This window comes from Homo sapiens, chromosome 1 (genome assembly GCF_000001405.40).
Source record: "Homo sapiens chromosome 1, GRCh38.p14 Primary Assembly".
NCBI classification, from domain to species: Eukaryota; Metazoa; Chordata; class Mammalia; order Primates; family Hominidae; genus Homo; species Homo sapiens.
The window spans coordinates 86,469,610-86,484,485 of record NC_000001.11 but is presented as its reverse complement, the minus strand read 5'-3'; the positions used below and the strand labels follow the sequence as shown (position 1 = coordinate 86,484,485).

The 14,876-nt window shown below is 38.8% G+C and overlaps 1 protein-coding gene and 1 long non-coding RNA gene across 2 annotated transcripts in view; one reads left to right on the top strand and one right to left on the bottom strand.

Annotated features, from left to right (window-relative positions):
* Positions 1-8,590, top strand: part of LOC124904210 (uncharacterized) — a 51,701-nt gene extending 43,111 nt beyond the window's left edge. The window contains exons 2-3 of the long non-coding RNA XR_007066206.1: positions 3,678-3,796; positions 8,521-8,590. This is a non-coding gene — a long non-coding RNA (uncharacterized LOC124904210). The remainder of the gene's footprint in view (positions 1-3,677; positions 3,797-8,520) is intronic.
* The window catches only part of CLCA1 (chloride channel accessory 1), a 31,333-nt gene that overhangs the window by 15,774 nt on the left and 683 nt on the right, over positions 1-14,876 (bottom strand). Inside the window, exons 2-5 of the mRNA NM_001285.4 lie at positions 10,929-11,069; positions 10,610-10,757; positions 7,933-8,038; positions 2,104-2,281 (exon numbers count right to left, since the gene is read on the bottom strand). Coding sequence (NP_001276.3) covers positions 2,104-2,281; positions 7,933-8,038; positions 10,610-10,757; positions 10,929-11,069 — 573 coding nt within the window. The remainder of the gene's footprint in view (positions 1-2,103; positions 2,282-7,932; positions 8,039-10,609; positions 10,758-10,928; positions 11,070-14,876) is intronic.

Sequence of the window (14,876 nt, the reverse complement as noted above, 5' to 3'; positions counted from 1 at the left end):
TGGAGCTTTGCTTCATTCTCCATTCTCATTCTGGCTGTGTATTCCATGTCTCTAATTTACCCCACTATAGCCTGTCAGTTCCCAAACTTGCCAGCCTTTGGCATCTCTATTGCTCCTCCTCTGTCTTCTACGTTGTAAACTCTACCTTCATGTTCAGCCAAAAAGTCACTTCCGAAATGTTTCTCCATTTTCTACTCTTCCTCCTGAGAATTTCCATTCCACCCTTTATAGCTTCACGATATCTTGTAGAAATTTCAATAAGGCCCCTTTAACATTGCAGTGCACTTACTGGACTGTAAATCCATCTGATATGGTTTGGCTCTGTGTCCCACCCAAATCTCATCTTGATTTGTAATCCCCACGTGTCGAGGGAGGGATCTGGTGGGAGGTGATTGGATCATCGAGATGGTTTCCTCCATGCTGTTCTTGTGATATTGAGTGAGTTCCCACGTAATCTGATGATTTTGTAAGCGGCAATTTCCCTTGCATTCTCTCTCTCCTGCCACCTCGTAAGGTGTGCCTTGCTTCTCCTTCGCCTTCCACCATGATGGTAAGTTTCCTGAGGCCTCCCTAGCCATGTGGAACTGTGAGTCAATGAAACCTCTTTCATTTATAAATTATCCAGTCTTAGATATAGTTTATAGAGGTGTGAAAATGAATTAATACACCATCTATTACAGAAACCTGCTTACTAAATTTTGCTTCCTCAAAATTTAGCCCTAGTGCCTGACACATAACAAAAACTCAATATGACTTTGTTATTTTTTGAGTAACCTTAACCTCTCTGCACCTGAATTATTAAATCTACAAAATAGTGATAGTTATTATGCAGGAAATAAATGAGAATATATGCACTAAGGTCAATACTAACACAGCCAATAAATGATGGTTCCTTTACCTTTCTTATGTCATATAACACTTGCTAGTATTTATATCTCTCGCCTGTGGGGGATTTTTTTTTTAAGGCATAGTATACAAAAGAAAAGTAACATGATTCCTCCTCTCAGTGACTTTACAATATTATCATGCAATTACAAATCCTAATATCTGGGATGCTATTAATTTAGAAAGTAATCATTAGTTGTACAACATTTTTCTCTTTATGTGCGTTTTTCAGGTCATGTGTTTCGGTAATGTTTTTATGTTATCAATATGGATACTTTTTAGGAAGCAGACCTGAAAAACGTTTGTGTAAACCCCAGGCAGAGGCTTCCACACCTGACTAGGCATCATATTTAACTCTGTGGCTAATTTAAAATATATAATCTGGGCCTCCTCCTGGAAGTTTCTGAATAGGCCTGGGAATGGACTGCAATGCCAAATTGAAGGACGATGGGCCTGGTGAGCCATGGTGCATCACATTTTAAAAACTTATGCTCCATTCCTGTTGAACAGACTCTTGCAATTTATTGCACCCTCTATTCCAAAAGGAAAATGTAATTTTATATGAGACTGGAAGACAAGAGAGACTTCCCACTGAAGTCAGTTAACTGATGCCTTCAATCTCATTTTGCGCAAAATTTCTGATTTATATATTTAGCAGTAATATCAATAACTGGCCAAGTTCATTTTATGACCAGTTATTCATTAAAAAAATTAAGAATTTTAAAACTATTTAAAGCTATTTAAACTATGTGTAAACTCCCTAATGTAACCAACACTCTTAAAAAGATAGAAAATTTCAGTTAACAACCAAAAGCAAACATGCAGTCTGAAAAGAGCTCTCTGAAAGTTAAATCAAGAGCCTACTGATCATGTCTTTATTAACTAATAAAAGGAACTGCCTAATCCCCCTGGGTTAAGTCCTTATTTAAGTAAGAATGTGTGTGCTTGTATGCCTTTGTGAGTATTTAAAGTAATCCTAAGCACTTGAACTAAAAACTAGTGGGAGGGAGATGATGGAGAAGAAAGCGTGGACACGAGGAGGGTAAGGGGAAGGAAGACAGGACTTTATCCTTGACTTGCACACCCAGCTTGTCCCAGAGATAATCCACTGCTCACTGATGATTTCTCTAAACTTTGATTCTCCCTTGGAGCACTTGGAGTAAAAGCCTCACTAAATTCATAAGAATCTGGGGGAGGGGGTGAGAACAAGGTACTTACAGAATCAACATGTTGTGCAAACATTATAGAAGCCTTCTCCGTCTGGCGGGATTGGAGAACAAACTCACATCCTTTTTCATAGAGTCCTGTTACTTTATTGAATGTGCATCTTTTGGTGTAACAGCTGCCTCCCTGACACTTCTTTACTACATTTGTACCAGTAATACCTGCTGAACATCTGAAAATATAGGAAGGTTAGATGTTTAGGTGATGTCGTCATTTCAAAGGGTCAGAGTCTATGCTCAGTTTCTGACAGATTGCCTTTCTGTGATTTTCCTCTCATGATCCAAGAAACAAGGACATCCCATCATAGCAAAAGTGTTAAATTGTCATCAGAGTCATTTCTGTTTGCCAGAAAGTATCTGAGGGGATTGCAAAAATGGTATCAGAATGTATTTCTACGCAGCAGAAAAGCCAAGTCTGGCTTAGGGCTGTTGTTAGCATTAATACAGACTAAGTCCTCAGGCACCTTTGAATCTATTCCCTTCATCCCTAGCAGGTCAAGAGCCCTCTTTTATTTCCCACAAAAGATTTGCTGACATTTCTTGTTTGTTTGTTTTCTGATTAGTTTATTTCACATGGTTTTTGTAGAGTTCTGGTATGTTCATAGGTATTTTAAATGTTTCCATGTATTAGGTATTTATGACTTTTGTTGCTATTATAGTTGGAATGCTTTCCCCCTACACCTTATTGTTTAATTGTATTTTTTAAGTATATAACCATGCATGACCGGTATAGAAAATTTGGAAAATGGCAAAAAGCATGAAGAAAAGAAAAAAACATGTCTCACCATCAGAAATGAGCTACTGTTACCAAGTTGAAGCATTTTTCACTTTGTATATATCAACATAACACTCACTGCACAGATAGCTTTGTTTCCTGCTTTAAAAAAAACTTAGCATATTTAATTTTTTAATATTATTATTTAATATTTTTCAAAATGTGGCTGCGTGTGGTGACTCACACCTGTAATCCCAGCACTTTGGGAGGCTGAGGCGGGTGGATTGCTTGAGGCCAGAAATTTGAGACCAGCCTGGGCAACATGGCGAAACCCAACTCTACCAGAAATACAATGAAAATTAGGTGGGCATGGTGTTGCGCACCTGTAATCCCAGCTACTCGGGAAGCTAAGGCACGAGAATTGCTTGAACCTGAGAGGCAGAGGTTGCAGTGAGCTGAGATCGCGCCACTGCACTCCAGCCTGGGAGACACAATTGGGACTGTCTCCAAAAAAAAAGAAAAAAAAATTCAAAATGTGATCTTAATAATTTTATATCTTTTAATACTATCATATGTATTCAGACTAACTTGTTGAACTTAGTTTCCCCTCCCAATTTGTCAGTACTAAAATAAAACATCAATGAATAAACAAAATTTCATATCCAATTTTGACTGTATTTCCAAGTTTGCCCTGTGATTGATTCCCTGAGTAATTACTATATCCAAAAGTTTGAACATTTTAAAGCCCGTTGATACAGCTGCTCTATCATTTCCTTACAATGCATTTTTAAACATGAAATCACAGGATCAAGACTTTTTTTAATTTGATATGTGTCACCCAAATTGCTTTCCAGAAAAGTTGCATGAATTTATGCCTCTAACAACCATCTGTGAGAGCTTTCATCCTGCTGACAATAACTTACTAGACAATAAATGAATCTCATCCCTATCAAATTTACATCTCTCATTACTAGTAAGTATGAACATTTTTATTATTGGACATTTTTATTTCATTTCTTTAATTTTCTTTTTCTTGAGACAGGGTCTTACTCTTGTTGCCCAGGCTAGAATGCAGTGGTGTGATCATGGCTCACTGCAGCTTCAACCTCACCCCCAGGCTCAGGTGATCCTTCCACCTCAGCCTCTCAAGTAGCTGGGACCACAGGCATGTGCCACCATGCCAGGCCAATTTTTGTATTTTTTGTAGAGAAGGGGTTTCACCATGTTGCCCAGGCTGGTCTCAAACTCCTGGGCATTTTAATTTCTTCTTTTGTAAATTATCTATTCTTCTCCTTTGTCTATTTTTCTATTTGGATGTTACTGTTTTACTGATTTTTCAAAAGCTCTTTATGTGCTACAATACTAAGCTTCTAAAGGCTTTCTTTTTTGTTTTTGCAAATATCTTTTTCTGTTTTTTCCTTTTTATTTAGTTTATGTTTGGTTTGTGTGCAACAAAATTTTTAATTTATATGTAGCCACATTTATTATTCTCTTAGTTATATTTTTCAATGATTGAATGCATTGAAAGAGTTTTGTTATCTAGGGATTTGATACTTATTAACATTCTTCTAGTTTTCATTATCATTCTGCTTTTTATCTTTAAAGAGTCCATCCAATTGGAAAAGAGTCTGTTAATTTTTTCCCCACACAGTTAAAAAATTGTCTATCTCAAGAAATCCTATCTTTCTTCACAGACTTGTAATTCTACCTATAATAACTAAATTATCATATGTGTAATGTCTGCCCACATTGTTTGTTTGTTTGTTTGTTTGTTTTTTGAGATGGAGTCTCACTCTGTTGCCCAGGCTGGAGTGCAGTGGCATGATCTCGGCTCACTGCAAGCTCCGCCTCCCGGGTTCATGCCATTCTCCTGCCTCAGCCTCCCAAGTAGCTGGGACTACAGGCACCCGCCACCACGCCTGGCTAATTTTTTGTATTTTTAGTAGAGACAGGGTTTCACTGTGTTAGCCAGGATGGTCTCGATCTCCTGACCTTGTGATCTGCCTGCCTCGGCCTCCTAAAGTGCTGGGATTACAGACGTGAGCCACTGTGCCCTGGCTCACATTGTTTTAATTAATGTAGTTTTATAGCATATTTAAAATTTGAAAAGTAAGAATTCCCTTTATTACTTTCTTGTTCCCAAAATGATCTTAGCTACTATCTACTCAACGAACTCTTAGATTTTTTTAATGAGGTAAAAATTGATGTACTTTTGATTAGCGTTTCATAAACCCTATATATGAATTTTGTTTGCGTTTATATCTTCCATGAATTGAATGTTTCCCAATTTACCTTGGTTTTCTTTTAACCCCTTGAGAAGGATTTTATAGTTTTCTTTAAATACATCTTCCACATTTCTTAGCATTGTTTCTACTTTTATCATACCTTTCATTGCTGTCTTGAAGTATTGTTCTATTATATTTTTGAACTGGTTATTGCTAATATATGGAAAAGTAATTTGAATATTTATTTTGTATTTGGTCACCTTATTGGCTTCCCTTGTCAATTTTAATTTCAATTTATTTCCTTGTGTTTTCTAAGTGGATCACAGATCATCTGCATAACAATGATTTTCTCTCTTCCTTTCCATCTTTTTACATCCCCAGTTTTATTACATTGGCCACAATTTCCTAAGCAAGATTGAATAATTGTGATAATAGTGGCTATTCTTAGTCCTGGCAGTGTCTCTAGTGTTTCCCTATTAAATATGAGGTAGATTGTTAGCTTTGAACAGATGTTCTGTATCATATGAATGAAGTAACCTCCTGTCCTGGGCAGTGCTGTTATTTGTGTGATTGCTTCTAAGCCTTAAAAATAATTTAAAAATTTGGAAGATAATGAGCAATACATATTATTAATATATTGAAATTAAAAGTTTTAAAGAGGACATGGCGATCATGTCTTATCTGTCGAAAGAAAAATGTGTTGTATATGTACTCATTTCTAGAATATCTCTAGAAGGAAATACTACTAATCACCCTTTCTGCCAAGGCAATATATGGTGTCTAACTGGCTGGAAGCTTAGGAAAGAGAACTGGGAAAGAGATATCAGGTTTGGAATGGTGCCCACTGGGTTTGAAAAGTCAAAGCAACGTATGATTGCATCAGAGAAGCCCCTCTGTGCTGTGGTCCATGTAGTGCAGAGTGTACAGGCCGAAGGCATCAGGAAGGCTGTGCATGGCTCTAGGAGGCAGCAGTGCACTTGATGTCTCTCTCTCTCTCTTTTTTTTTTCGGGGGGATGGAGTCTTGCTCTGTTGCCTAGGCTGGAGTGCAGTGGTGTGATCTCGGCTCACTGCAACTTCCGCCTCCCGGGTTCAAGCAATTCTCCTGCCTCAGCCTCCTGAGTAGCTGGGATTATAGGTGTGTGCCATCACACATGGCCAATTTTTTTGTATTTTTAGTAGAGACGGAGTTTTCCATGTTGGCCAGGCTGGTCTTGAACTCCTGACCTCAGGTGATCCTGCCTCGGCCTCCCAAAGTACTGGGATTACAGATGTGAGCCACCATGCCCGGCCCACTTGATGTCTCTTTATGCCTGAAGAGATCCAACAATGAGGCATAATATAATGGAAATGGGCCAAGTGTACAGAGTCTGACTGTTATAAAGAAAGAGAAAAGTAAAGAGCAGTAATGGTCCTGTGCGAGAAATGGAAGCCAAATCTGTGTTCTGAGCCCCTTTTGAAAAAATTGTACTAGGTCAAGACAGTTAGGAATCAAAGCCGAGTGCATCTCCTTAAAGGGCCATCAGGCAAGCAAGACCGGAAGCAGACATGGAGAGGGTGTTGTACCAACTTCTACTTAAAAAGATGGTGTTGTTTTTAAATGCAGGAATAAGTGTGCGTTTTTATCAAGTTTCTTTTGAGAATCTATTGGAACAATCATTTATTTTCTTCTTTTCTTCATATACTATATTCATTACTTACTATTACAACATTTTTGGATTTCTGGAAGACATTCTTACTTGGCTTTAATATGTTTGTTTTTCCCTTAATTTTGCCAGATGTAATTTACTATCCTTTTATTTGAAATCTTTGCCTCTATCTTTTTAGAGAGCCTGTAGCTACAGAATTTTTTCATTCCATTTGTCAGGTTTTAGTATCTGAGTTGTACTAACTCTTTAAAATAAATTAGGAAGTTCCCTATCACTTCTGTTTGCACTAAAGCAGTTTTTGTGCACTGAGACTGCTGGCTGCAAGAATTAGCCCATAAATTCATGGCAGCCAAGCGTTCTTTCCAAGTGTTGTACTTGATTTCTACTGACATCGCGCAAGGTTTAATTCAAACTGGGAGGAGTTTCTGTTTTGCTTTGATATTTGGATTGTTTTTCAGATAAGTTTCACAGTCCCTCCCAAGCCCATTCATACTGACAGAGTCCACACAGATACCATTCTGGGCCGGGCATGGTGGCTCACGCCACCATGATGTCAGAGGTAGTCCCAGCACTTTGGCAGGTCGAAGTGGGAGGATCTCTTGAGTCCAGGAGTTCAACACTAGCCTGGGCAACATAAGGACACCCTGCCTGTACGAAAACTTAAGATCAGCCTGGCAACATGGTGAGACTCCATCTCTACAGAAAATATAAAAATTAGTCTGATGTGGTAATGTGTGCCTGTAGTCCCGGCTACTCAGGGGGCTGAGGTGGGAGGATTGCTTGAGCCCGGGAGGCTGAGGCTGGAGTGAGCTGTGATTGCATCACTGCGCTCCAGCCTGGGTGACAGAGTAAGACCCTTTCTCAAAAAAAGAAGATATTATTATTCTGCCCTGAAGGCACCGAAGAGCCTCATTAGCTCTGCTTACGTCACTGATGCTGGTATGGGATGATGGAGACACTAAACACAGCAACTGTAGATTTTTTATAGTTGGTACAGTTAAAAAAAAAGAAAAAAGGAGGCAAATGACTTCTAGCTGCAGAGTGAATAATTCAATTAACTGAAGCACTTGTAAAGTAAACAAAATGGTAGTTTTGTGGAAATCTGAAAAAGAAGGCACTAAGAATGAATTTGAATTAGAAAATAAGCCAGGACACACATTTTTTAAAGTAATCAATTCAAGAAAAAAAGGTTGCAATTTAAAATAGTTTGGAACAAGTTAAATCAAAATATACATACCTTACTGCTTGTATTCTTCCATTGGATAAGTAGAATTTCTCATCATTATTGTACTCGTCAAATACTCCCCATCGTAGATGAGCCCACTCATGGACAAATGCCCTACCTGTGAGAAAGTATTTTAAAAAACTGATTACAATAAGAATGGCAAAATTACCTTCTCACACTGGAAGAAAGCAATGTTTGGAATATTTATGCTTTGCTGTGTTAATTTTTTAAATTAAAGACTTGATTTCTTTAGATCTAATATAACTGTACGTTTTCTTAAAATATAAATACTTATTTTGGCTTATCAAATGTTAATCAGGCACCTAGTAAGTGCCAAGCCGTTATTCAGACACAAACAGCTGCCCTATCCTCACATAGCTCCTGGTGTAGTGGAGGGCATGTGTGATTAGAAGCTAAAATGCCTGGTGGTACAGGTATGATGACAGAGGTCAGCAAAGGCGGCTATGGGAGCCCAGGCATTCCTACAGCAGCCAGGGCAGCATCCTCAACCAATTCTCCTCCCTCATGGCTCCTATCCCATCAGACCTCAAGGTCTGCTTACTCCATCTCTGTCTTTTTTATTCATTCTCACCTTTCCAGGCCCATTGCCACTTACTCCTGAATTGCTGCAATAGTCACCAGATTGGCCTCCATGTCTCCATCCTTCAGGGTAAGTCCAACTTCTCAACATGGTGTACAAGGTCCCTGATGCCTCAGGCCTGCTCTTCTCTGCAGCCTTATTTCTTGCTGTTCTCCACTCCCTTCCCAAACTCTAGAATTAGGATGAATTCCTGAACTCCTTTTTTTCCTAGGTCATATCATGCTCTTGTTCAACTCTGGTCTTTTTTTACCTATGTTTCCTTAGCTTGGAATACTTCCTTCCCATCTTTGTCTGGATAACTCTTATTCTTCTTTGAAAATCAAGCTTCTATGTGCCTAGAAGCCTGCCCTGAAATCCTCATCTTAGGCCCAGTACTCCGCGTTTGCATTTCACCATCTCCCATTAGGCACTTACAATGATAAACAGTCATTGCTACTTACTTGCCAGTCTCCCACAATAGAAAATTGTCTCCATGAGGACAGACAATATGACTTCTTCACTGTCATATCTGGGCACATAGTGTCTAGAACTTAGCAGGCATTCAGTGATATTTGTTAAACTTGAGTGAATGACTTATGTACAGCTCAGTTTTTCTGGAATGTAAATTCCAAGGAAGGCTGAATTTGGAGGGTTATGTGAGGTGGGGCATTCTGTGGAAACTCAGTATCCCACACTAAGGATTGGGACTTTATTCTGTAGGTATTGGTGGTCTCTTTAAAGATGATTGTGAGAGAGTTGGAGTGGAGTCACAATACAGAAAGGAAACACTATTAAGGAATGGTTTTATATATGATCATGATGGCTGGAGTGGGCTCAGGAGTGGGATGAGGCAGTCAGGTCAATCAATTCAACACTTATTTGTTGAGTCATACATTGAGAATGTTCTGTTCCTGTTATGGAGGTGAAATGTGTTGTAGAACAACAAAGAGGTACGCTTGACACATCCTTTTGACCAGGTCTTTAAGCGCTCTAGTGTGTTTGGGGATGGGGCTTGGATAGCGTTCTTTTGTTTGCTTGTTTTCTGTGCCTTATATGTTAAAAAAAATCAAGCTGGTTCTAGGGGATCCAAATCTTTTTTGAGGTAAAGAAATCTAATGCTAGTTATTTAGTAAAGAGTCACATTTGATTCTTGGAAAGTACATTTTATATATATGTCATTACTTGTTTAATATTTCCTCCAATAATTGTTATATGTACCTCATATACAAATGATAAAGTTTATTTATCATTGGAGTTTTTTCTTTAGTTACATGTTTTTGAGAGATGAATTGCAAAGGTATTCTGTCTGCTACTCAAAGTGTGATCCACAGACCGGTAGAATCAACATCTCCTGTGAGCTTGTTAAAAATGCAGATTCTTGAGTCCCATCCCACACCTAATGAATGAGAATCCCCCCCCTTTTTTTTTTTTTGATACGGAGTCTCGCTCTGTCGCCCAGGCTGGAGTGCAGTGGCGCGATCTTGGCTCACTACAACCTCCGCCTCCCGGGTTCACGCCATTCTCCTGCCTCAGCCTCCCAAATAGCTGGGACTACAGGCGTCCGCCACCACGCCCGGCTAATTTTTTGTATTTTTAGTAGAGACGGGGTTTCACTGTGTTAGCCAGGATGGTCTTGATCTCCTGACCTCGTGATCCGCCCGCCTCGGCCTCCTAAAGGAGAATCCACATTTTAACAAGATTCATATATAATTTGAATGCACGTCTGAGAGCACTGCACATATACGCCATCTGGTGGCTATTGTATGAATTGCAGGTAGAAGATTTAATTCCGTTGTCTCCTTACATATCCATAGAAACTTAATACAAATTAAATTCTTTTACAGTTATAGTATGATGCTATAATAATAATTTACGAGAATTCAAAATACCGTATTTATACATGTATCTAAAGTAAATTAAATTCATAGCTGAGAAATGCTGGAAATTCTAAGTGAAATGCATGTTCTATTTTAAGTGAAAAATGCTATGATGTTTTATCTCTAATTGTTTGGCTTATACATGCTTACTCACAAAGATAATGCTAGTGTTGATACACTTTGAACATAAAATAGTTAAATTGTATGAGAAGTATGGTAGAATATTTCATACCTTGTGGTCCATATTCAGCTAACTTTTTTCCTGCAATGAAATCAGGAGTGAGGTGGATCCTTTCACCCTTCTCTCCACAGTTGCCCATCTGCTCAGTGTAGGGTTCATCATTACCTGGAGGAGTAGACTCAGCAACCAGAACATCAGCCTGAAATTTAAGAAAAAGTTTCTATCATCACAAAGTTTCAGCAAATGAATTAACCATATTCGTACTGGAGTAAGTTTCAAACAATCACATTTGATTCTAGAATATTTTGATTTTAAAAAATCTTGGTTACAGGAGAAAGTGGAATTTTAAAGAAGAACTTGATATTCTCACATTTTTGTAGGTCTCAAGTTTTGGTCTCACATAGTCAGCCTTTGTCTTCCATGTTTCAGGAATCAAAATGGCAACATTTTTGAAATAAAATCGCTTTCCTGTAGCTTCAAGCAGATACAGAGATGCCTGGGTCACCATGTCCTGGGAAGAAAAAGAAAACATACGTAACAATTGACTGAAAATAAATTAAATTATCAGTCATTCAAATTCACATCTGGATTTCACATTTTCAAAAACTTGTTATTTGTTAAGATGGGAAGAAGAAATATAGAAATACCTTTTAATAATAATAGCTAAGCTTTGAGAGCATTTACCAAATATTCTGTGTCACCGAGTAATCAGTAACAATGCAGACTCTGGAGACAGACTCTAATCCTGGCTGCACCACTTTTTGTGGGACATTCGGCAATTTCTAATTCTGAGCCTCAGTTTTCCCATTAACAAAATGGAATATTATATTATAGTGACTGGCTGATAAGGTTGTGGTGAGGAACAAAGTGAAACATATGATGTGCTAGGAACAGTGTTTACTTCGCACAAGCAAGTATAAAATATTAGCTATGCGTTTCACTTGCTTCTTTGAGAATCCACAAATCTTTGAGGGTGAAACTGAGACTTAGTATAATTCTCAAGGTCTCACAGCAAGTAGTAATGAAGAGAAAAAGTGAATGTGATTTTAACACCTGCTGACTCCTGTAATAATTTTGGGATTATATACTAAGTCAAATTAAATGTAATACTAAATGTTGTGGTATTATTTATTTATTGATTCATTTTTCTTTTTTTTAAACTTTGCCAAGTGCTGATAGAAGTATTTATTTTTTGTGCAGTGTGGTACTAAGAGATATAAGAAAATAGCATAATTATATATTTTCAAATTACACCTAATTTTACTTCTCTAAAATGAAATAGCTGCAGCGTTAAATTATAAATGTGTCTGCAGATTCCCTGTGATATGTTATGACGAGAGAGTAGGGAGAGTGATAGAAGATACTGTTATAGAAAGGGGGCAGTGTATCTGTTAGGACTGAAAACCATTTGCTTCGAAAGTGAGCATAGACAGAGGAAAAAAGAGGCTGAAGACTGAGCCCAGGGAATGTGGGGGACCCCAGCATTCAGAGGTAGAAAGAGGAGGAGCCAATACAGGGGCCTCAGAAGGGCAGTCAGTGCCTGCAGAGGAAATGAGGAGCTGTGGGATGAGAGAGCTATAGGGAGGAGGGCGTGATCATCGGTGTCAAGCACTGCTGAGCCATCACTTCATATGAGGACTAAGAACTGATCACTGGACTTGGCAGCATGGTGAGCCCTAGTAGTGGAATAAATACAGCAGCTCCGTAAGAGTGGTTTCAAGAAAGTGGGAGGTGAGGCAGTGGAGACAGTAAATACAGACAACAACAGGTTCAGAAGTTTTTCTGTGAACTAAAGGGGAATGGAGAAATAGGCAGCAGCTGGAAGTGGACTTCAGGACAAGACAGTTTTGTTTGTTTTAATATTATATTATAAAATATTTCTATGCTAATGAAAAAAAAAACAAAAATGTAAAAGAAAAAGGGGTCATTGCAGGAGCAAAGTCCTTGCGGGAACAGACCAGAGTGACTAGACTCCATTGCCTAGTGGGGGTCGTGTTAGGAGCAGAAATGCTTCACCATTTTATGGGGAAGCAGCACTTGGGTGTTAGTGCACGGGTAAGTCCTGCTGTGCCTCTTCCTAAGGGGTAAACTTAAAGAACTTATTTTACTTCTCTGAGCCTCAATTTCTCCCTTTCAAATAGTGATAATAATGGTTGCCTCTATTTTTTTAAGTGTTCTTAATGATTTACATTTTCTCCTTCTAAAACTCCCAGATTTTTAACACTCACTAGGAGAGTTTAATATTATGTCACTTTAAAAAATAAAATTAAAAAATGAGCCAAGATCACCAAAAACTTGAAAAGTAGGTATAAAACTTCATATATTAGAGTATTGTTTTACCATTTGACTTGTGAAATGTGAATTTCCAATGTCTCCCAGGAAGAATAAGTACCATGAAATGCTCTTGTCTTCCACATTGTAATAGAAACAATAATAAGGGATCTTTGTTTTGGCATCTGTTTCAGATTTTCAGAAAATGACCTCATATCCTAATACATATTTAGACTCTTAGGCTGAGAGAAGGTTGGGGGTGACAGTTTATAGAATGGGCTAGAAATTCCTTCAGGACAGGGACAGTATATTGACCACTGGACTTCTAGTACCTGACATAATTTAGATGCTCTGTAAATATTTGTTGAATGAATAAACAAACAAATGGATAAATAAAGTGGGTTTAGTAAATGGCAAAGTGGTATAGAACTGCCAAGACAGGCACAGTGCCTGGGGTGCTGAGCATTGCAGAGACTCCAAAATAACCCTACTGTGTACCTTCTGACGTGCGTGTGTGCGTGTATGTCTGCGTGTGTGCATGGGCGTGTGTGTGTGCACACGAGCTTGTGCGTGTGGTGTGTGTGTATGTATATTTGACGGGGGAAGAGAGAGTTTCTCTCTGACTCTCCCTTCCTCATCTTGTGACGTGTACTCCCCCTGCTAATATTAGCAAGAATGCAGTGGATGGAAGTGGTGCAGAGCGATTAACTGCTCTTGTAGGTGGGGAAATCTGGGGACTGTCCTGCTGAAGCAAATATTTTAAAAGCTGAGTTAGGGGCTTCTGTCCCCACAGGGGCACCAGGGGAGAGTCTCTCATCAGCAAGAAGGTTGTTGGAGTAGAGGGAGGAATGGTTGGGAAAGGTGGCCAAGCCCTCAACGAGGTCCCTCAACTCTGCAGATCTGGAACATCAAATAGGAAGGAGTTAGGGACTTTGAGCATTCTATTCACTAAAGTGTTCTTGTTACAGAGAAGGAAATGATGGAAGCCAACTTATCTCACCCCCAACTTTAGGATCCATACTGGAAAGACAATTTAATAATTGTAGCGAGAAGTACGTATCTCGGGAGGAAAACCTCCAAGGACAATGAAGTAGAAGCACTTTGAAAGCTCTAGTCACTATATACTGTAGATACAAATTACCACGGTCACTGAAGATGAATACGGCATCTACATTCTCCTTCTGGCATATTGCTGAACCCCACTGTCTAGCCAGAGACTGAAACACACTGGTCACATGTTTGCTGATGCCACTTCCAAATTTAGAAACAATCAAAAACTCACTCAACATTTTAGATGATTGAGAGATTCAAGAGGTCTGAATCTCCCTTTTACCACAGACAGCCTGATCCTCTTTGGGTTAAGTAGGTAAGCTTTATGGTGAGTGACACCCTCCACTCTGTTCCCTATCCCTATCCCCTACTGCTGCAATTCTCTAACCACACACTGTAGAGATGGTTTTCTTTCCAAACATTATCTTTCTATATTTGCCTCTGCTTAGAGCAGTGGATCTCTGGGGAAATCCCTCTGGGCCCTTGTTCTATTAATTTTCCATCTAGAGAGAGCCAATGACTATATCCACCATTTATTGAGCTCTTACTATGTACCAGGCACTATGCATGCATTTTTAAAGTTATTTTTTAAAGTTCTGAGATAAATTTAGATGAACAGAAGACATGCAAAGTATTGCACCGTATTCTTACATACTCCACCCAGCTTCCCTTTATATGCATGCATTTTAAACTTTGATCCTCACAAAATCTGATAAGGGAGATATTTATTATTATTATTCCCATTTTACAGACTAATACTGTTACTAGTACAGCACTGCCTCTGGATGTGTTACAGCCAGATTCCAGGGCGGTCTTTTATAAAGCATTTCCCTCTTAGTTTTAGCTGTTTGTTGTTGTACAAGACCTTCTTCAATGGTATAGATACCCCTGCCAGGACAGGAAGTCTTCTTCCTTTCCCTTCTGCTACATAAGAGGTAGCAAGAAATCTCTGAAAGGATCCCTTGAATTGGGACTGATAAAATGCAAGGTTTTCTCC